Source organism: Homo sapiens, chromosome X, assembly GCF_000001405.40.
Source record: "Homo sapiens chromosome X, GRCh38.p14 Primary Assembly".
Taxonomy (NCBI): Eukaryota; Metazoa; Chordata; class Mammalia; order Primates; family Hominidae; genus Homo; species Homo sapiens.
The window spans coordinates 5,900,245-5,923,938 of NC_000023.11; the positions used below are offsets into that span (position 1 = coordinate 5,900,245).

General features: G+C 41.6%; 1 protein-coding gene across 17 annotated transcripts in view; it reads right to left on the reverse strand.

Annotated features, from left to right (window-relative positions):
• The window catches only part of NLGN4X (neuroligin 4 X-linked), a 338,826-nt gene that overhangs the window by 10,203 nt on the left and 304,929 nt on the right, over window positions 1-23,694 (reverse strand). For all 17 annotated transcript variants that reach the window (NM_181332.3, XM_005274564.4, NM_001282145.2 and 14 more), the window contains 2 exons: window positions 8,810-8,995; window positions 2,833-3,622 (listed from right to left, as the gene is read on the reverse strand). In NM_181332.3, coding sequence (NP_851849.1) covers window positions 2,833-3,622; window positions 8,810-8,995 — 976 coding nt within the window. The remainder of the gene's footprint in view (window positions 1-2,832; window positions 3,623-8,809; window positions 8,996-23,694) is intronic.

Sequence of the window (23,694 nt, forward strand, 5' to 3'; positions counted from 1 at the left end):
TTGAGGTCATACTAGAGTAGGGTGAGCTTCTAATGCACCTTGGCAGATGCTCTTATATGAAGACGGCCATGTGGAGACAGAGACACACAGGGAGGCCGTAAGATGACAAAGACACAGAGTGGGATGGTGCACCTGCAAGGTAGGAATGCCAAAGACTGCACCCAAACACCAGTAACTAAGAAGGAGCAAGGAAATACCCTCCCCCTACAGATTTGGAGGGAACTTGGCCCTGCAAGCACCTTCATTTGCAACTTCTGGCCTTAGAAAGCGTGAACCGATACATTTCTGTTGTTATAAGACACACCGTTTTTGGTGCTTTTTTTTTTTTTTTTTTTTTTTTTTTTTAAAGATAAAGGTTTCGGTCTGTCACCCAGGTTGGAGTGCAGTGGTGCAAACATGGCCCACTGCAGCCTTGACCTCCTGAGCTCAAGTGATCCCTCTGCCTCAGCCTCCTGAGAAGCTGAGACTCTCGGCATATGCTACCATGCACAGCTAAATTTTTTCATTTGTTTTGTAGAGACGGACTCTCACTATGTTGCCTAGGCTGGTCTTAAACTCTTGGCCTCCTCAGGTGATCCTCCTGCCTCGGCCTCCCAAAGTGCTGGGGTTACAGGCATGAGCCACTGCGCCCAGCATAGCCATACAGTTTTGGATACTCTGATAACAGCAGTCCCAACAAACTAATAAACAAGGTTTACTTTAAAAAAAGTATTAATTTGATTTCAATCATTTCTTCACACAAAAAAGAACCGTTGAGTGATAGACAAGCATTTGCATCAAATGTGGGTCCCTCCTCTCTTCTCCTCTGGGTAGCCTTTCTCAGACCAAATCTACAAAGTCTGATTATTGAAAGGTGGTATCCAGGTGATACCTTTTCCACTCCAAAAACATGCTGTACTTTCGCCAAGGGCACAAAACATTCTCAAACCACTCCCTACCCAAACCACTTTGGAATCTTTGTACAGTATGCCAGCTGCTAAACACGTAGGCATTGAAACCACCAGCATCCCCAGATCTTCTAAGGATTACTGTGCATAACTCATGTGTGGCAGGGCCACTGCAGTCTCAGAGCCTCATTCCGCACGGGAAGATTTACCCTCCCTGGGCGACAGGCACATCTTTCTCTCTCATTCAGTGTAAAGAGGCTCAGGGTGATGATGGAGGCACACACTGGTAGAACAGAATGACACCCCATCCATTTCCACAGTTACATTATTAGACAAGAGAAAATGAAAAAATGCCACAATGTTTGGAGCTATTTAGGTTGTTTTGGGTTCTTTTCTCCCATGGTTTGCAGAGAATCCGCTCAGCAGAATATTGGCAGACTCTGTTGTATATATGCTTTTTGTATATTTTATATTTTCTACTATATTTAGGCCAATAAATGAGCTTTCCTGTGAGATACACATGTATGTGTGTTTGTGTGTGTGTGTTTATGTATGCATGACATATAGCAATATGATACAAATATCATATATTTTCATTTTCTCTCTCTAGTTATTTATATAGCAGAGAAAATACAAACGTATTTGTGTATATATATATTTGTATTTGTATATATATTGTATATATATAGTATTTGTATATATATTTGTATTTGTATATACAAATATATTTGTGTGTATATATATACAAATACAAATATAAATGTACTATATTATACAAATAGGAATATCTATATTTTTATATAGACATTAAATATATATAGGAATATATATTTATATTTCTTTATAATTATTATGATATTTGTTTTCATTCCTATGGCCAGGCAATCAACACAGTTCCCCAAGTGGTACATGTGCTGTGATATCCTTGCAAATTAACAAAAGAGATATGGTTGAAATTAGACTTAAAACTCTGTAATGAGGGCTGGTGTGATGGCTCACACCTGTAATCTCAGCACTTTTGGAGGCTGAGGTGGGAAGATCACTTGAGCCCAAGAGTTTGAGACCAGCTCGGGTGACACAGCAAAACCCTGTCTCTAACAAAATAAAATTAGCTGAGTAAGGTGGTGTGCACCTGTAGTCCCAGCTATTCAGAAGGCTGATGTGGGAGGATCCCTTGAGCCCAGGAGTTTGAGAGAAGCCTGGGCAACATAGCAAACCCTGTGTCTACAAAAATCCATGTAAGGGCATGGTGGTGCACGCCTGTAGTCCCAGCTACTCAAGAGGCTGAGATGGGAGGATCACATGAACCCATGAGCTCGAGGCTTCAGTGAGCTATGATTGCGCCACTATACTCCAGCCTAGGCAACAGAGTGAGACCCTCTTTCTACCAAAAAAAAAAAATTAAAAATTAGCCAGGCATGGTGGCAGGCACCTGTAGTCCCAGCTACTCAGGAGGCTGAGGCAGGAGGATGGCTTGAGCCTAGGAGTTCAAGGAGGCTGTAGTGAGCTACTGTTGCACCACTGCACTCCAGTGTGGGCAACAGAGTGAGACTGTGTCTCTAAAACAACAAGGACAAAAACAAAACCGTTTAATCAGCTGTTAACAGAACCATCATATATGTATGAGTCCTGCACCTGCAGGTAGGAACTCTGGAATTCCCAATGGGCAATTAGAACTCTAGTAAAAATCTGGTTTGACAGTTAAGTGTTTTACTCCTATAACACTTTAGGAGTAAAGAAAAAAATGAGTTGCCATAGATGTTGGGGGAGAAGCTGCCTGTTACTGCTGTGTGTGTAAGCGTGTGTCTGTGTGTATGTGTGTGCATGCATGTGTATGTGTGTGTATGCGTGTGTGCTCCTGCACGTGGCAGTAGAAGCAACACCTATATTGAGGACACAAACAAGTGGCAAGGATAGTGATACCCCAACACGAAGATGAACGTACCCAGTTTTGGCGAAGTTCGTCCAGTAGGTCATGACCACGGCGCTGAGCATGACGTCGTTCTTGGAAAAGTTACAACTGAAGAGCTCGGTGGGACCGATCATGGGGATGCCGAAGACATAGGGGACCTCATCACCATGGGCCGAATCTGCCCAGCTGGGCTTCATTTCGCTTTGGCAGTGATGATAGAAGGCATAGAAGTAGGTGGGGGAGCCGTACTGCGCGTGCAGGTCGGCGGTGGCCACGGCGGGGGCCACCCACTGGTGGTCAGTAAAGAGAGCCACCAGGGTTTTCCGCCGCGTCTCCGGGTTTTCCTTATCGGCCCAGTCTGTGTACATGAACTTGATAGTCTCCCGCAAAGTGTCTTTCCCTTCAGGGTAGCCGTAAAGGTTGTCCACGAAGTTGGACACGGAGAAGTCAAAGTCGTTGGGCGTCACACCGTCCTCGTTATCCACGATGCCGTCCACGAACTTCAGGCCTTCCCCTTGGTTGACGCCCAGCATGATGTCGTAGTTGAGGAACTCGCCTTGCTCCATCAGGATCTGGGGGTCGTCTGGGATGACGTCGCCGTCGATCACCGGCCCGAAGGCTATGTGGTAGGTGGCCGGGGTGATGGTCTGCTGGATGAGCTCCTTGTAGTTCTTGTTCCGCAGGCATTCTACCATGTCCGTGGTGTCCAGCATGTTGCAGCCGACCTTGTCTGCCAATATCCGAGTGTACTTGGCCGGCTGGTAGTTCACTGCCCAGCTGGACAGGGCGGTGCCGCTCTGAATGATGGCCTTCTGGAAGAGACCTGCAGGTGCAAAATTGTGGACATGCAAATGAAAACCCACAGGACAGAAATGCAGCTTTTACTGAGCAATGAAGGCTGTGATTGTCTCTCAGGCATGTGAGTTTCTGGATGTAGTAGCATTCAGCTCTGTCAGGGGCCCTTTTACCCATTTTCATTTCCATTCCCCCTTCACCCCTCCTCCTGAACATTCATTTTAGGGAATGTTATTCTACACACACACACACACACACGAGTTTAAGGAAATGAAACCACATTGACACTTCTCCTGCACTGGTAAAATACATGTGATTTCTTTTTCCTTCCACAATTTAGTGTCGTTTTTGCTTCCTTGCCTCCAGATGCCATATATAAAAACTCCAAGAGCAACTGCATTCCCCATTTCCAAGAAAAAAAATGCTTTAAGCTAGTACCAGTTCAAAGGCCCTCTTGTCTCACAAGCAAAACTAGGTATCTCTTCATTATGGGAAAAAAAGAAATCCACTTGAATCAACTTCAGAGTGCTAATTCAGGAGCGCATTTCTACTTCTACCTTGAGTCTAATGAAGATATTAAGATTTGCCAATTAAAATAAATACATTCAGCTAGCTATGCTTAAAGAAATCCTCAACTGGGTGCCCAAGTAAGGAGTATTTTTTAGGTCACTTCTTTCAAAACTACATCCATTGGAAACTCAGAGATGTGTATATTTTATTTTGCCACATATAAAAATGCTCCACTTGCTGAGAAACTTGAAAAAGCATGGGCAATTTTAGGAGTAAAATTCTGTGTAGCTTAAAATTCTCCATGAGTTCAGTCTACTACACGGATGTCCAGAAGTATAAAATCTGTATTTTTAACTACGATAGGACAAGAGAGGTGCGCTGTAAAAATCAGCATTCCATTTACACTTGCTTCCTGCCATTTCCGTGAATCCCAGCCCGAGTCGGGCACTAAAGAATAAGGCATTCAGTTGTGAGTCCAGAAGTTCATGCCCTGTCGATTTTTAAGGTCACAGAAGCAATCAAATATGAGGAAAATATAACTGTCATCAGGAAGACGTGATTTTAAAGACTGGAGGATTGCCCAAAGATGACACACAGGACCGCAACTTGAAACCAATATGGCTTTGACCAGTATGTCATCAAAGCCATCCTGGGAACGTTTCTGTCAGAAATGTGCAAGTATTGACTTGAGTGCTTGGCTCTGAAGATTATTTTAAAATGTCCAAAAAAAAAAAAACCAAAAGAGAAAGTCAATATGTATTCTATTGGATACTTTCATTAGTTAAAACATTCAGAATTGGAAAAAATGCTGTGAGAAGTTCCTTTCCCGCCCTTCTCATAAGTACTGGCAATAATTTAGGCAGTAGTGTATATAAAGTAACATACATAAAACATTTATTTGTATGTTAGGGAAGTAACAGAACTCCTGATAAGACTAAAATAGTTGGATAATGAAAAAAATCACCCAGAATTCATACTTTAAACACAACTCACCTTAGCGTAATGAGTATGCTAGGAGTTCACATAATTCTTAGCTCTTTCCCTCCATTCAAATGTCTGTTTTGCATAGCTGAGCCCAATATTTATATAGCTGTCTAAACTGTTTTTCCAGCTGATGTATATCTTAGGTAAATTCTTAAATTATTATTGAGTAAATACATATGGTTCATTATAATTTTCCTCTCCTTTTGATCTTGTAGCTTTTCATTTCATTCTTTGCTACGATACTAATACTGTGGTGAACATCTTCATAAAACTATCACTTTCCACGTGTACTTTGTCTTCATTAGACCATATAACCAGGCAAGGAATTCCTAAGGCAAACAGTCTGGCTATATTTATTTTTATTTTAGACAAGGTATCACTCTGCTACCCAGGCTGGAGTGCAGTGGCGGGATCTTGGCTCGCTGGAGCCTCTGCCTTCCAGGCTCAAATGATCCTTCCACCTCAGCCTCCCAAGTAGCTGGGACAACAGATGCGTCTCTTTTTTGTAGAGACGGGGTTTCGCCATGTTGTTCAGGCTTGTCTTGAACTCCTGGACTCAAGCAATCTGCCCACCTTGGCCTCCCAAATTGCTGGGATGATAGACAGGCAGGAGCCTCAGTGCCTGGCTTGTATTTTTCATAATTCGTGATTATATTGATGGGCTGTTTAGAAGCATGCCTTGCAGAAATGACCGATGCAAAAGTATAATAATTTCCAACCTATTGACTTAAATAATTAACACCTCCCTCCAATTAATGTGGCTTACATGTGTTTGATTACTCCTGAAGTTGGTTCTGACTGCTTTCTAAATCTACAATTGTGATTATATCAATTGAGAAAAGTGAAAATCGAGGTATTTTCAAAAATGCCATAGAAATCTCTCTACCAAATGGTTCATCAGATTCTTCACTTATCGTGTTTTTGAAATAAAGTTAATACAAATATGAGCCTTTCCTCTCATTAGCACTAGTAAGAAATCAAAGGCCATTTGGTCTCATGGGCAAAACATTATGAACTAAAAACTCAAGGAATTCAGAGTTTGGAGGATTTCAGGAAACCCTCATCTGTCCTATCTTGCCAATGAAGACACTGAGGAGCACAGCGATCCAGAAACTTGTCCAGACGGTGCCGAAGTGAAGAAAGTCCTGCAGTTACTCTAAAGAAAGATACTTTTTAATTTTATGTATGTATGTATGTATGTTGAGACAGGGTCTCACTCTGTCACCCAGGCTGGAGTGGAACCTCACAGCTCACTGCAGCCTCGACATCCCTGGCTCAAGCGATCCTCCCACCTCAGCCCCCCAAGTAACTGGGACCACAAGCATGCGCCACCAGGCCCAGCTGGTTTTTATTTTCATTTTTGTACAAACGGGGTCTCGCTATGTTGACCAGGCTGGTCTCAAACTCCTGGGCTCAAGCCATCCTCCCCGCTCAGCCTCCCAAAGTGCTGGGATAACAGCCATGAGCCACCATATCCAGCTGATAACTTTAAAAATAATCATTCGGGAGGTCGAGGTGGGTGGGCCACTTGAGGTCAGGAAGTTCGAGACTAGCCTGGCCAACACGGTGAAAGCCCATCTCTACTAAAAATACAAAAATTAGCCGGGCACAGTGGTGGGCGCCTGTAATCCCAGCAACTCGGGAGGCTGAGGCAGGAGAATCGCTTTGAATCCAGAAGGTGGATGTTGCGGTAAGCCAAGATTGTGCCACTGCACTCCTGCCTGGGAGACAGAGTGAGACTCCCTGAAAAAAAAAAAAAATTCCATGAAGGTTTTGAGAACTTCAGGTTCAGTCAGTGTGGTGCCATTCTGAAGACCACTGACAACACAGAACAAATTACAAAGCTGTCTTGATGACTGAGACGGCTATTAGGAATATTCACTTGCGTGTGGCCAGGCAACCCAGGGCTGGATCTGCACTGCAGATTTTCCTGCCTCTTCCTTTTAGGCCACAGCCAGGAATTTGTGATCCTGCTTCCAGAACCAATTGCCTCAAATTCCTGTGGACTCCTCTTTGAAGTCTCTCATCGGATACTGCAGGGAGCCTCCTTCACAAAGGGACAGCTGGGAATCCACTGAGTGAGCCTCCGGGGAAAGCCTCAGGCACTCCAGCAGGGCTCAGGGGTGTGGCTGCCTATGCTGACCATTACTTAGGCAGCATAACCATCTACTGCTTAGGCGTCCAAGTGCACATCTGGTTGGGTACGGGTGCCTATGCTGACTACACGTTCAAGTGCACATCTGGTTGAGGTAACATGATGCACATGTGTTTTTGTGGTTTCCTCTTTCTCCACTTTGCCAACATCAGCTTTTTCCAGGTTAATAGCAGGGCCCCAGGGAGGGTTTGGAGCTCCCACGGGGACAAGCAGAGGACCTCGTGCTGACTGGCCCAGCAAGGAGGTCCTTCGTGAAAGTCATATTTGCAGGAGAGAGAGAGAGGAAGGGAGAGGGGAAAGCAAACTCTGGACACTCCCTAGTGCTGCATGCTGACCTGACCAGGAAGGAGGTCCTTTGGTGAAAGTCATATTTGCAGGAGAAGAAGAAAGGGAGGGAGAGAGAGAGAAAGAAACAAAGAGAGAGAGGGACAGAGGGAAAGGGGGGAAAGAGAGAGAGGAAAGGAGATAGTGAGTAAGAGAGTGGGGAGACAGAGAAAAGGAGAGAGAGGAAGAGAGAGAGAGGGAGAAAGACAGGGAGAGTGGGGGGACAGTGTGAGGGGGAGAGAGAGAGGGAGGGAGGAGAGACAGTGGAAGGAGGGGGAGAGAGAGGGTGAGAGACAGAGCAAAAGAGAGAGAGGGAGCAGGAGAGAGGTAGAGGGAGGAGGACATAGAGAGGGAGAGAGACAGAGAGGACGAGAGAGGGAAAGAGAAGAATGGGAGGGGAAGAGCAAGGGAGGGAGGGAGACCATCAGGGAGAGAGACACTATTCCTCTGGGTAGAATCTACTTCTACCCAGAATCTACTTCTAAATGAATGCACCAGACGTGTTTCAATATTTCCAGAAGATTTAAAGAATTAATATGAATTAGAGAGAGGAGCGACTTCTTAAAAAACATGTGGCTAAAAGCCCTGATGGTTACAAAATCTATACACCCGCATCCCTTATCGACATACTGTCTCTCTTCCATACTACTTTTACTAAGTTGTAGCTAGAAGTTAATAAAATTTCAAATAGTCAAATACAGTCAGAATGGCAAAAAAAAACAAAAGTGTCAGGACTTCTAAAGTAGTTATTTTGTTCCAATCATTGTAACCAACACCTAATTGTCACACATTTAAATTAGGAGAAAAATATTACTGATCAAGCATGGTGGCTCACATCTGTCATCCCAGCACTTTGAGAGGCCAAGGCAGGAGGATCGCTTGAGTCCTGGAGTTTGAGACCAGCCCAGGCAAACATAGCAAGACCACTTCTCTATAAAAAATTTTAAAAAGCAGCCAGTAGTCCCAGGTATTCAGGAGACTGAGATGGGAGAAGCCTTAAGCCCAGGAGTTGGAAGCTACAATGAGCTATGATCATACCACTGCACTCCAGCCTGGGTGACAGAGCAAATGGAACAAAAGCTGAGTTAAAAGACATGAAGATGGATTCATTTGATCTTTTGGGCATTTTCTGTTGCCAGAGTGACTTCTGGTAACCAGGACATGCATCTGAGATATGAACTCTGACCATTCATTTCTTGGTTCAGGGTATTTGCCCGCCCACCCTGGGGGTGCCATTATTACCTTCTGAGTAGTGGGACAGGGTCAACAGGCTGACACAGGAGGCCCCAGCCCCCGAGCCAAAGATGGTCACTCTCTTGGGGTCCCCGCCAAAGGCTCCCACATTCTCCTCAATCCACCGCAGTGCTTGAATCTGATCCAGGAGCCCATAGTTGCCTTTTGCTGCCTGGTCACCGGTACTTAAAAACCCTACAAAAGAACACAAGATATTTTTGGTGGCCAAATAGAAAAAGTGCATACGTGTCTCTGCTATTTGAAAAGATATCTCATAGCTTGTCTTCTTCATTCTCTCTCTCCTCAACTCTCACCCCCACCAATTAGAGGAAGAACAGGAGAAAAAATTTTGTGGCAGAAATAATTATATAAATAATGGTTATTTTAGGTTGATGTTATGATACCATGGCATCTTTGTGTATATATGTGGCTAATAGAGAAGGCAAAATGAATCTAAAATATTAATAACATGAAGCAATCCCAGAAGACGTCGTAAATTTTACTAGGTTCAAGGTATCATTTCTGTGCACATTTTCATTTTCTTTTTTGAAAAATGCAACAGACTCCTACAAGAAATTTTTCAGGGAAAACAGTACGTGTGTGGGGGGGGGAGGGGGCGTAAGTGCACATGTGTGTCTGTGTCTAAGAATATGTGCATGTATACAAAGGCAGTGTGCGCCTGTCTTTCTCACTGAATTAGTTATTAACATTTTGTTTTAACTCCTTTCAATGCTTAAGAAACAACGTAAGTTACAGACTCCACTAGATCCGACTCGTAAATAGTATACACCTCTATTTTCCTACATAGCGAAAATATTAGTCACATACAAAAAAATGTAATTATTGAACCTCACCCAAAAGCTAATGAATATTCACATCTCCCCAACTGTTCCCAAAATATCAGGAACTGGCCTTCCTTATTTTAAAAAGAAGGATTCTGTGAGTTGAGGATCTAGATTTTACTCAAGGCATACGATTCTTAATTTCTCCTTAGTAGTTGAAAAATGGCAATTTTGGTATTAATGATAGCAAAGTTATGAGTTAATCTATTTTATTTTTTGTTCCTTCTGTATTGAAAAATAGCTTGACCTGGAAAAACTGCTTTCTTCTGATGTTTTGAAGTCAAGTTTGGGAAGACATACACTCTCCTACTCAGATTCAAAACTAGGAATATTTTCTAAGGCCTCCTGCAAGTTTAGTTCATTGCATAAACTTTAATCCAACTTTATGTCCAAATCTGTACTGGATATGCCTTCCAAAAAGACAAAGAATTTTTAAAAGTTTTTTTTTTTAACCATTTTCACGTCCTTATTTGAGCCTTCCCCAACTACCCAACTATGATATTTGCCCCTTCTATACAATTTCTTTTTTCCAAGAGCCATGTCATTCACTCATTTCAAGGGATGCTCAGCACATTATTATGGCCACCTGCAGTCATGTTTGTATGAAGACAGGCTGCTTTAAGCCCTAAAATAACATCAAACCAATTCCCTCAAAGCACGTCCCTAACCAAAGTTGACGGCATTCCAAGGAGTGACTGAGTGCCGGCTTCTACTTTTAAAACAAAAAGAGTAGAGGATGAGGCTGCATACCAATTGAGTCAACCAGCATTTCTTCCATGAGCTTTCCTGAGCACCTGTGGAAAAATGCTCTGAGCTGGAAAGGAGGAAATGGCCTGGCTCCAAAGAAAGTCACAGGACGATTTTCGTTCAACAATGACAATAAAAACTCCAAGCCTGAATCGGGAGTCACTATCTCCTGCAGCTTCAAAGAGAGGCAGCGTCGCAACTGCGAGGTTGGATACTTAAGACACATCCTACCAATGTGATCTTCTTTAAAGTTCAGAGGGATGTGACGGGAGATTAGCTACGATTAGTGGGTGCGATCAGACATTACCCAAGCCTCCTCCCCCATTTAATTAGCAATTACTAATTAGTGCTTCATGCCAAAAATGTTCTGCAACACCTGTCTCCATCACTATATCTTTGACACGATCGTTCATAAAAGGCATCAGGCTTTGCTTGGGAGAAAAGATCGAAGATCCTTATATGACAATGACGAATCATGTCAGTTTAGGTGCCCTATAATACCACAGGGCAATGCTTTCTTCCCCTATTAAAGAAAGAGGTGATTAATTCCTAAGGCACGAGCAATTTTCTAACAGAACGATTCTGTCTTCAGCACGTCTTTTCTTCACTCACTGTTCTCTCTTTCTCAATTCTGCAGAATGACTTGTTGACTTATTTTGTTTCTGTGGAGGAGTATGAAGATTTTCAACACGCAGGAAATCATTGGCCTTTCTTCCACCATAAACTCTTCCTCCCTAGCAAAATCAGAGTGTTTTAACCTTTCCAAAAGCAGGCTAATGAATATCCCCTGCCTTCAAAAATCTTAGTTCTTCTAACAGCATCCTATTGGATGGTTTGATCTTTGAGGTTCTGAAATTCTTCCAAATATCCTACAGGCTGGCTGAGGGAAACGACAATCCATGGATCTCTGAAGTTTAACAAATCAATGTGGTGTTTTGAGGCTGGTGTTTCCACAGTTTCTGCCATGGCATTTTCATTTATTGCAACATCCAGGGATTATTATTTTTTTCTTTTTAAACTATCAACAAGGGGGAGTGCCTGTTTCAGGTACACAATGAATGCAATAATTTTATGCTCTTTAAGAGTATAGTCCTTTCACCTTGAAACCACCTTTGCAAAACTTACAATAGTCAGACAATTATGACAGTGAAAGAGATCTGACCTAACCAACTCCATCTTGCCTTTAACCTCCATACTGTTCTTGATCATTCCTGGGCACGGGCCAAGCTAACTTTGGGAGAAATTGAACTTGTAGTTTAAATGATAATAGCCCCTCTTAAAACTAAACCACCTTTGTAAAAGTAATGAAAGGCCACCAGGTTAAAGAATGAGAGAGGCCTGAATTCTGCTAAGATGTAAGCTTAGTTGAATGATTACCAGCCATTATTCCAGAGGTCACAAGATTTGCAACTTCCCCAATCACTAGAAGCTAAAATTTGCCTTTTTAAAACTTTTATTTTAGGTTCAGGGGTATACCTGTAGGTTTATTATGTAGGTGAACTGCATGTCACAGGGGTTTGATGTACAGGTTATCTCATTACCCAGGTAATAAGCATAGTACAGATTGGCCTTTTAAGATGTCTTTTCAGGCTTTTGCATTTCTGACAACTGATTGGTCCTACTAGGACCAGTGACTCCTCTGTGTCCCCACATAGAGGCCGACTGGGTGCACCAGGGCTGTTTTCCACACCCCTATCATTGCATCCTCAACCAATCAGCAGCACTCATTCCCTAGCCCCTGTCTGCCAAAGTATTCTGGAAAAACCCAAGCCTCCAAATTTTTGGGAAGGCTGATTTGAGTAACAATAAAACTCCAGTCTCCCATTTAGCCAGCTCTGCAGGAATTAAACCCTTTATCTATTGCAATTCTTCTGTCTTGACTAATCAGCTCTATCTGTGTAGTGGTAAAGATGAATCTGTTGGGAGGTTACATTGTTTTGAGGGCCAAATCATGTTTTCTATAAATCAGACTTAAAAAGCATGTGGGCTTACTGATACAGAATTCTATGAGCCCAGAAAGTTAGCATTTGAAAATAAAAAGACCTGTTTTCCCAAGTCGCCTGATCTGTGAAAATTAGATCTCACTATCAATCTGTCTTCTTCTTTATTCATCAGCACCTGGCCAGGTTTTCCTGTGAATAAGACTGGAGGCAAGGAACAGGCAGCACACTACAGCTCTGTGATGTGATGGAGCAGGGAGAGGGAAGGAGGGAAGGAGGGAGGGAGGGAGAGCAGGAGGGAGGAAGGAAGGAAGGAAGGAAGGCAGGAGGGAGGGAGGGAAGGAGGGAGGGAGGGAAGGAGGGAGGGAGGGAAGGAGGGAGGGAGGGAAGGAGGGAGGGAGGGAGAGCAGGAGGAAGGAAGGAAGGAAGGTAGGAGGGAGGGAGGGAAGGAAGTAAGGAAGGTGGGAGGGAGGGAGGGAAGGAAGGAAGGAAGGAAGAAAGGAAGGAAGGAAGGAGGGAAGGAAAGAAGGAAGGCAGGCATTTTCCTGGCAAAGCTATCTTCTTAAGTGTAAATAAAGAGTGATCTTAAAAAATTCTAATGGTGTGATTTTTTGCAAGCTTTTTGACACCAGGAATCCTGGTATTTATTGTAGCAAATTAAAATTAATATTTTTAGGAATCCTGCAAACCTAAACCACTGGGTTTTGCCTCCTGATTGTAGAAAGCAAAATGATGGTAGCTCATCAACTTGGAAAGAGCCACACATGATACCAAAGATGAGTGCTGCTCCTGAGAAGTCATTCCTCGGATAGATCACTTAACTTTAAATATATGTTCAAGGTGAATGAAGAGAACAAGCTACTTGATTGTCTAAAACCAGAGATTTACAACAAATGGCTCCTTTAACTGACAGGTCCTTTAGGCTACAAACTCTCTAAGCATTTTAGCCGATGAAATTTTGGTTTCTGAGCTTTACTCTCCCTAATATGAAGCTTGTAATCAGCAACCTCTCCTCCAATAATTGAACAACGAAAGAAAGATGCAAAAGAGACCATGTGAATGAATCCATGTTAATGGCTACATTGATGCCAAGTTTCATCCAGGGTCCTGGAAGGAACAACAATAACAAATATACACACACAAGAGATATCAATAGATACGTTCAGTGATCTGGTTTGGCTGTCTCCTCACCCAAATCTCATCTTGAACTGTAGCTCCCATAATCCCCATGTGTCATGGGAGGGACCCAGTAGGAGGTAACTGAATCATGGGGGTGGGTTTTTGTCATGCTGTTCTCATGATAGTGAATAAGTGTCATGAAATCTGATGGTTTTATAAATGGCAGTTCCCCTGGACACATTCTCTTGCCTGCCACCATGTAAGATGTGACTTTGCTTCTCCTTTGTCTTCTGCCATGATCGTGAGGCCTCCCCAGCCATGTGGAACTGTGAGTCCATTAAACTTCTTTTCTTTATACATTACCCAGTCTCAGGTATGTCTTTATTAGCAGCATGAGAACAGACTAGTACATTTAGTTAGTATGGTTATTTAGAAACAGGTTTCATGGAAAAGATGACTAAAAATAGGAATCACAGTTTTTCCTGCTGCATGTTGACTGAAGTGAATATCATATAAACATGAATATTTCTATTCAGGCTTAATATTGTTGTCACAACAGAAAAGTTTCCAATTTTTATTATAGATAATAATGTAGATGTTTCCTCTCATTTTGAATTACATCACAGGGCTTAGGAGAATGACTGCAGGTCTTTTGTTTCTCCATGCACTGCAAGTAAATGGTAAGGAACCCAATGGGGTCAGATATTGTTTTTCTTTCAATTAACAAAAGACATTGTTACATGACGTTAAAGCTGCAATCCATTTTCTTTTAGGAGATCATTCCTTGCATAAACACAGTAGGCATTTTTTGGAGACAAGTAACCAGGAGATAATTAAGTGAATACAGAAGTTAAATATCTTTCACCATTTCAGTGTGTGTAATTCACCTGATATGTGTGTATGTATATATATATAATATATGTATGTATATATATATATATATGCATATATAACCATATATATGCATGTGTGACTATAAATGTATATGTACACAGACATACATTTGTGCACCTTTAAACTAAAGAAGTGACACCAAACAGAAAATGTTTAAATAAAAATTCTTCAGTGAGAATAAACAGAATTTGTGTTAGATCATGCAAATGAGGTCAAAAAGAAATCTGTTTGGTTAGAATGAAAGCAGAAGCATAAAAAACAAAAATCAGTCAAACAGATGCAAAACTAATCTTTGACGGTTATAGGAAATCATTCATGAAATGCATTTATTACAAGGTGAACCTTTAACTTTCTGACTGAAAACATGTAGGATTTAACACAGAAGCACACATTGCACAGGATGGGCTGGAAGGGAGGGAAGCTGATGCACTGCATTCAAATTCTGTTGCCTGATAGGCAGGGCTGCTTGAAATTCAGTGCCTTTTATTTTTAGTTTTTACTTAAAAATGGAATGAGTACTAGCAGACCATTCTCCATTTGTATCATGTTATCACAGCAGTATTGCACAGAACCAAAGTCTATTTCCAATATCAGTAGAGAAAATCTAAAACAATTATAAGAGACAAATGATTTTTATACCACAGGTTTCCAAACTCTGGGGCCTATGAACTACTACTGAGATTCCTTGCAGTATTTTCATAAAAGATAATATCTCCACACATTTATCTAGAATTAAGCTGCATAGGTATTTTTTAAGTGCTTTAGTTTAAATTACATGAAATAAAAAAAAACTGAAATTGATCATATTTTAGGAACAAAATATAAAATAATAAATACAGCTTGTTTATTAAATAATAAAACATCAAAATCTGAAGATAATTGATACATGAGTTTCATGCAAATGAAAATTTGGGAATAGCCAGCCTGGAAACAAATCTCTTTGAGTCAACTTTGAGTCTTTTTTTGTTTTTGAGACAGACTCTCGCTCTGTCGCCTAAGCTGGAGTGCAGCAGTGTGATCTTGGCTCACTGCAACCTCCACTTCCTGGATTCAAGCAATTCTCCTGCCTCAGCCTCAAGAGTAGCTGGGATTACAGGCACACGCCACCACACCCAGCTGATTTTTGTATGTTTAGTAGAGACGGGGTTTCATCATGTTGGCCAGGCTGGTCTCGAACTCCTGAGCTCAAGTGATCTCCCTGCCTCAGCCTCCAAAAAGTGCTGGGATTACAGGTGTGAACCACCATGCCCAGCCAACTTTGAGTATTTTCAACTGAACACTTTCTCCTTAGATATTTCTCCAGATTTGCTGCTGACTCTCATTCAATTGGCTGTCACATCCTTTGGTTTTAGTTTTCAAAGAGCTTGTACATCTTGTCCCTCCCTGGGTCTGCATCCTAGTGTCTGAGATGAGAACTACAGTTCCCCAGGACCTGCTCATTTGGGTGCTACGTCCTTTTAGCTTCCTCTGAATTTCCACACCATCAACATCATCATGATGGTCTCCAGTGTAAGAGAATGGGTAAAACCCAGGAAAATGAAAATTGGAAACTTCTGACCCAGGAGTCCTAATTCTTTGAATGCTTTCTATGAAAATCTTTATTCTGATGCATAAAAATAGCCACCCAAGGCTCCACAATTCACACGGATTGTAATTTTAAAAACAAACAATAGCAGCAAGCTGAATGTTCACAAGTCAGAGATTTGAATGGATTGTCTTGGTTGGATCCATATTATGAGATGCTGTTTGTCTGCATAAAGTGCTAAGGAGTATTTACACTCATGGACACAGAAACACATCTAAGGTATCTCAAGAAAAAATAGTGGGCTACTGAATACTACATATCATTTATTTTATTTTATATTTTTATGTATTTTTTTTGAGACAGAGTTTCGCTCTGCTTCCCAGACTGGAGTGCAGTGGTGCAATCTCAGCTCACTACAACCTCTGCCTCCTGGATTCAAGCGACTCTCCTGCCTCAGCCCACCAAATAGCTGGGATTACAGGAATGTGCCACCATTTGCTGCTAATTTTTGTATATTTTGTAGAGATGGGGTTTTGCAATGTTGTCCAGGCTAGTCTTGAACTCCTGACTTCAAGTGATCCACCCGCCTCGGCCTCCCAAAGTCCTGGGATTAAGGCATGAACCACTGCGTCCAGCCCATTTGTTTTATTAAAAAATAAAATCTGGAAGGAATTCAAACAGTGGAGGGTGATTATTTCGAAGCATGTGACTATAGGGAATATTCACGTTTTATTGCTAATATCTGTTTATATTTAGTTCATAATTTAAATCTCCCTTTTTAGCAACAACAATCACACCCACACAATAAAGTGAATGTGTTGGAGAAACAAATTCATTACTGGGAATCCAAGGGTCATTCTGTGTGGGCCCATGTGACCTTCTCAAGGGATGCCCTACTTATGTTCTGGAGCCTGCAAATCCACCACAACACTTGCTAGCTATTTCCAGAATATGCCTTGCATTTTGATATGCTTGCCTTTTTATATAAAATCCCCAAGATCTAGGGCGCCCTCTGCAGGGCTGCTGGGCGACCATAAATTGCCCTGAACACCTTGCCTGAGCACACCTTCCTGTGGGCTATGGCCGCACACAAAGCTGCACGGCTAGCTCATGGACCCAGCACCATTTGAAAGGTCAGTGTGACCTGAAGGTCAGTCTCTGCATCTTCCGCAGGGGTCACCTGCATACTCAGGTAGAACCTGGCCATCTCTTTCTACCAATGTGGGCCCCTTTCCAAAAGTGTCCTGTGTGATTATCTTTATTCTCTCGGCACAGTAAATGGCTTTCAATGAATTTCTGTTACAGAACGTATCACTTTACACCAAGGGCATTTGCTTGGTGACTGCTTTTGGAGTTATTGCTTGCAGTGGATTCAGTTGGACATCCTTGTGGTGGAATCTATTGCAAAGCCTTAAGCACATGACTTAAGATTTCAAAGTCCCACTTTCTTTATATGTGAAATGGGGAGGAGAATAGTAGCCCTCCCATAGCAAGCTGAGGAACTCAACTGGACAATGCACAAGAAACAGCATTGCGCTTGGTGTGGAATGTGTTCAAAAATGGTTACCTACTAGCCTGCTTTCATGAATATCAGAAGCCATGCAGTTTAGTTTTGCTTCATCTACACATACTAGGAACAAAGAAATGTCCTTCAAATATATGAAAGGAGTCCAAAGGGAAAAAATTGACTGCTGGTCAAATTAGACTCTGACTCTAAAATTATACAGATGGTAAAGCGAGATTGTGTGTTCTCTGATGGTATTTTAAAGAATGAATTAGATACCATTTATTTGTGAATAATTTTGCATAAAGGGGGTATGTATTTATTCAATCTGCTTACTAAGTGTTTATTATGTGTTTAAAGTGAAAAGAGAAAGACAAGGCAAAAAACACATCATAGCTTTTACTTATGCTATGAGATTTACGGCAAATGCTCATTCAACAATGTATGAAGTAGCCATGATGACCCAAGCAAAATCTGGGGGAAAATGATGCGGTAGTTCAGTGCATTTCCATAGATATCTTGAAAAATTACAGAAAAGGTTTTTTTTTTTTTATTTACGTTTTCATTTGTTTTTAATGAGACTATTTTAAAACTCATTTGAATGGAAAGTAATATTTTTCACCATCAAAGTATGGAGATAAAACACATATTAAGATACATTTTTGTACTTCAGTGCTATTCAGGGCACTGTAAAATGCACATAAGTAAAAAGACAACTTATACAACACTATATTAGATGAACTAGAATTCATATTAGATGAATGAAAAAGTAATGCACATATATTAGACGAATTAGAACTTAGGTGTAATCACATGCACGCTAGCAAAGTAAATATGACAGCACATAAAATAGCTAAAATCCCAGTGGAATGCTTAGTTTCAGGAATAGAAAGGTTATTGAAGAAGACAGACAATATTTTCTAGAATTGAGGAAGGGCAAATTATGCATGTATTGTACCTTAAGCTACACACTAAAATTGTCCTGCTGGCTTGCCGCTTTAACCAAACTCTCTGCCTCTTTAAGTTCTTAATTATTTATACTATTTTTATATGTTCTAACATTAAGGTTTTTCTTTTCTTTTTGCCACTTTTCTTTTTGAAGATAGCTACATCCTAATTCTCATCTTCCTGTTATCCTCAGCCACAATGCATAACTGGGATGTCTTTTCTAAGCCTGAAGTCCGCAACTTTTCTTACAAAACCTGAAATGGTGGCTCGATTTTGAGACTGCATCAGAGAAATTAGTGCAATTCTGTTTTCACTAAGCAGGAGGGATGTTTGATTTGAGAGCAGTTACAGAGTTCCATTATATCTCTTACTATACTGAAGTTTATTGTTAGAATTGCCAATGATTTGTCATTTTTGGTAACTGTCCCAGTGGTGCTTGGAAGTCTTTATTTACGGAGAGATTTAAATAGCTGGGGCTAAGATTTCTCTCTGAGAATTAATTAAACAAAAAAATGATTAAATGGATCACATACCAGAGTAGCTACAGTCAAACTCATCTCTGTTCTAAAAACTAGATTTTAAGCAACCATCATAGTAACAATTCTCCACTTCAGAACTTTTATCTCACAAACCTTTATAGGCTCCAACAAAGCAATCCTCCTGGGCAATATATATATATATGTAGCATAGCATCTTAATCTCTGTCTGACGTCTGTTTCACCTTCAGCTCTTCTATTGTTCCAAGCTTCCAGTTTCTGTCTTATAAGGATATTTTTATTACACTGAGCTCACTTAGATACTTGAAGATACTCTCCCCATCTCAAAATCTTTATCACGTCAGTCAAGTCCGTGTTACTGCATAAGGTAGGATGTGAACATATGTAGGGGGCTGTTATTCTGTCCTCTACAGCAGGGGTCCCCAAGCCCCAGGCCATGGACCAGTTTTGGTTAGGGACTGGGCCAGCAGGAGGTGAGTGGTGGGCAAGCGAGGGAAGCTTCATCTGTATTTACAGCCACTCCCTACCACTCACATTACCACCTGAGCTCCACCTCTCGTCAGTTCAGCGGTGGCATTAGATTCTCATAGGAGTGTGAACCCTACTGTGAACTGCACATGTGAGGGATCTAGGTTGCCTGCTCCTTATGAGAATCTAATGCCTGATGATCTGAGGTGGAAGTTTCATACTGAAACCGTTCCCCTACTTGGAAAAAATTATCTTCCGTGAAATCAGTCCCTGGTGCCAAAAGTGTTGAGGACTGCTGCTCTGCAGGTTGCCTGACTTATCATTGAGTTGGGAGATATTTTTATATATTCTAGTTACAAGTCAATTCTCTGCTATATTAGTTGTAAATGTTTTCTCTCAATCTGAAGCTTGCTCTCTGAGTTCTTCATGGTGTCTGGAAGGCCCCGTCAATACATTCTCTTGCGGTTCTTACATTTTGTGTTCTATGTAAGAAACTTTTGCATAACCCTAGCTGGCAAATATTTGCTCCTATGTTTTCTTCTAAACAAAGCCTCTCTGAAGAGGTGGAAATGAAAGGAAATGATGACAACGAAGCAGCTACAAGATGATGAAAGGGAAACATTCCTGAAAAGAATTACGAGTTGCGAAGTTTCAAATGGGAAATATGTTTAAAGGGTGAGGAGAACAGAAGGAGTCCCGGTGTAGCTGACTCATAATTAGCAAGGAAATGTGAAAGAACGTTATTCCAGTAGTAGGCAAAGTGAGTTCACACTTGAAAGAGAGAGTAAAATGTTGGAATTTATTGTAAAGCAATGACAAGGCATAAGAGTTGGAACATGGCAGGGATGTGATAGGATTTATGGTTTCGTAAAGCTCACAGGAGCCACTGGTGGACAGGACTGCAGGAGCGTGCATTTGGAAGAAGTCCACTGCAGTTGTCCAGGTGAAAGTTGGTCCTGGCTTTAACCAGGTTAGTGGCAGTCAGGGTGGAAGACATTCAACATCTTCTGGACACATGTTGTCAGGGTGCTTCAGGCTTTGGTGTTAATACAAGATGTGAATATGTGGTAGGAGTGGGGATTTGATGTTTGCTCTGGTTTGGGTTCATGATAGGTTTGGATACGTGTTTGTGAAGAGTGCAGCATCATCCAAAGAGTGTCAGTTGTAACCAAGTTATTGAACCTGGGTAGGTGCCCTTGGGATGGGGACGTATCTTCTGGGATTTTCACCCTGCCTGAGTTACACACACATTCAAGAGTCCTAGGACTGTGGCCAAATGATTGAATCAATCCCAGTTTCTCTTTCTGCACACTGGGCTTTGAGGTTACTGAAGCTCCCTCTCCCTATGACATTGAACAAAACGATGAATGTGAAAGACCTTCATGCATTATAAAGCTCCATGGAAATGTGAGATGCTATTATTATCTTGTGCAAGAAGACAACGGCTGGGTGGTAGTGATGATTAAGAAAAACGCTAATAGCATGTTGTGTTTACACTGCCTTTAGTCCAAAACACAACATCTTCATTGCTGAAGCATGGTGATTCATGTGCTTTTGTATAGAAAAAAGGCATGTCAAACAAGATCACATATGGTAAGTATTTTTTATATATATATATACATATATATATATATATATATATTAGACATGTATATGTCTAAAATGATTCCAAAGAACAGCATAGGCTTATTTCATTATCACTGCAACAGTCTCAAGGTAGCCAAATTTGACAGACAAGGTCAGAAAGAGTTAAAAATAGAGATTCAAATGAAAACATATTCACTTTTTTTCTCCGATGTTTCAATCTCTTAATGACCCTAAGCTGCTTCTCACTGTATGACTCAGCGGCATTGAAAATGAACCAGAGAGAGAGAGAGAGAGAGAGAGAGAGAGAGAGAGAGAGAGAGGAGAGACAGAGACAGAGAGAGAGAGAGGCAGCCTAATACTTCCAAGCACAGGGGCATTCCTTTATTTCCATAACACATATTTATTAAGAGCTGTTCTGCATCCTGCAAGGTGTTTGCGGGGTAAGTGAGGGCAATCTCTCCCAGCCCCTATGGTACCAACAGCCTGGGAGGGCTGAGCTGTCTCAGGATATATCCACAAAACCTTGAGTTGTCTGTAAAAATTTAAACTGCATAGACTCCTCCGCTGACTTCCAAATCAGAATCTCTGTTGGTACAATTCAGCAGTAGGCATGAAAACTGAAAAGTTATTTCTATGCATATTCAGGATTTGGGGAGTGCTGTTTTGGGCAGATGCATTGGGCAGCGGTAGCTACACGGTGTTAGGCTTTTAAGAATAAACTTAGCACGGCCCAGGTAGTATTTTCTAGATTCAAGGGTGAAGGCTGCCGTGACACATAATGGGAAGGGTCTGTCTTTAGTGAGGCGGTCTCAGGCTTTCCTGTCTTACTGTTAATATCACAGGCGAAGCTGACAGCCACTGCAGAAGGAAAGAACAAGGAACCATCACTGCCATCTTCTCCTTTTATCTCCAACATCATAACTGCTCTTCACCAAGAATCAGAGGGAAAAGGGAGAAGGTTTCTCTTGCCGGAAATACTAATCCCAGAACCAATTGTTTTTCTCTCTCTTTTTGCTTTATCTGCCAGAAATTGTGAGGTAAAATTTATGCTCAACTCCAGTACCTGAATGTCTTTGTTCCTTTTGCTTTGTGTGTCAGATTTCACCTCTTTTATTTCTTCGTGGGGAGGGGGGGAAACAGGAGAAATAGGTTCTCGTGTTCCATAGCACTGCAGGGTGACTGTAGTTAAAAATAATATAATATGTAGTTTCAAATAGCTAGAAGGAGGAAATTGAATGTTCCCAACACAAAGAAATGATAAATGTTTTAGATAATGGATATGCTAATTACTTAGATCTGATCACTGTATATTACATGTATTGGAACATCAGTATGCACCCCGTAAATATGTACAATTATTACTTGTCAATTAAAACTAAATAAATGAAATGTGGGGAGTACTTTATGCTGTACTGCCTCAAACTGTCTTTAAATTAAGCAAAACTAATATTAAAACCTATATGAAGGCAGGGCGCAGTGGCTCACACCTGTAATCCCAGCACTTTGGGAGGCTGAGGCAGGCGGATCACCTGAGGTCAGGAGTTCGAGATCATCCTGGCCAACATGGTGAAACCTCGTCTCTACTAAAAATACAAAAATTAGCAGAGCATGGTGGCACAGGCCTGTAATACCAGCTACTTGAGAGGCTGAGGCAGGAGAATCGCTTGAACCTGGGAGGAGGAGGTTGCAGTGAGCCGAGATCATGCCACTGCACACCAGCCTGGGCGACAGAGGGAGGCACCATCTCAAATAAATAAATAAATAAAATAAAAAAATAAAAAATTAAAAAACAAGAAAAACCATATGAAGATATCTATGTATATCTATATCTATTTATTTGTGTGTGGGATAAGTTTGCCATTTTGATCATTTTAAAATGTACAATTCAGTGGGATTCATTACATTCACAATGTGGTATAATTATCACCACTACCTATTTCCAAACCTATTCATCACTACAAACAATAACCCTAACTATTAAGCCATATGTCCCCATTGGGGAAATATTTTTTTATTTTTTGAGACAGGATCTCACTTTGTCACCCAGGCTGAAGTGGCGCCATCTCGGCTCACTGCACCCTTGAGATGCATTGGGCATCTCTAGCTCAAGCAATCCTGTGCTCAAGCAATCCTCCTGACCCAGTGTCCCCAAGTAGCTGGGAATACACACTTGTGCCACTGCACCCAGCTAATTTTTGTATTTTTTATAGAGACAGGGTTTCACCATGTTGCCCAGGCTGGTCTCAAACTGCAAAGCTCAAGCGATCTGCCTGCCTTGCCCTCCCAAAGTGCTAGGATTACAGGCGTAAGCCACTATATCAGTCCATTTTCACACTGCTCATAGAGACATGCCTGAGACTGGGCAATTTACAAAAGAAACAGGTTTAATGGACTTAACAGTTCCACGTGCCTGGGGAGGCCTCACAATCATGGTGGAAGGTAAAAGGCATGTCTCACATGGCAGCAGACAACAGAAGAGAGCTTATGCAGGGAAACTCCCCTTTTTAAAACCATCAGATCTCATGAGACTTATTCACTATCATGAGAACAGCACAGGAAGGGCCTGCCCCCATGATTCACTTGCCTCCCGCTGGGTCCCTCTCACAAGAATTCAAGACGAGATTTGGGTGGGGACACAACCAAACCATGTCAGCCACCATGCCAGCCTTTTGGGGAAATACTTTGAATGGTGTTCATATGTTGAGTTACCCATACCCTGAGCTAAATCTGCTTGATTATGTGTGATGTCTGTATTTAATGACCAATGTGATTGCACCAACCATTCCTACAATTGATCTTGTTGACCAGGACACCTAAATATAC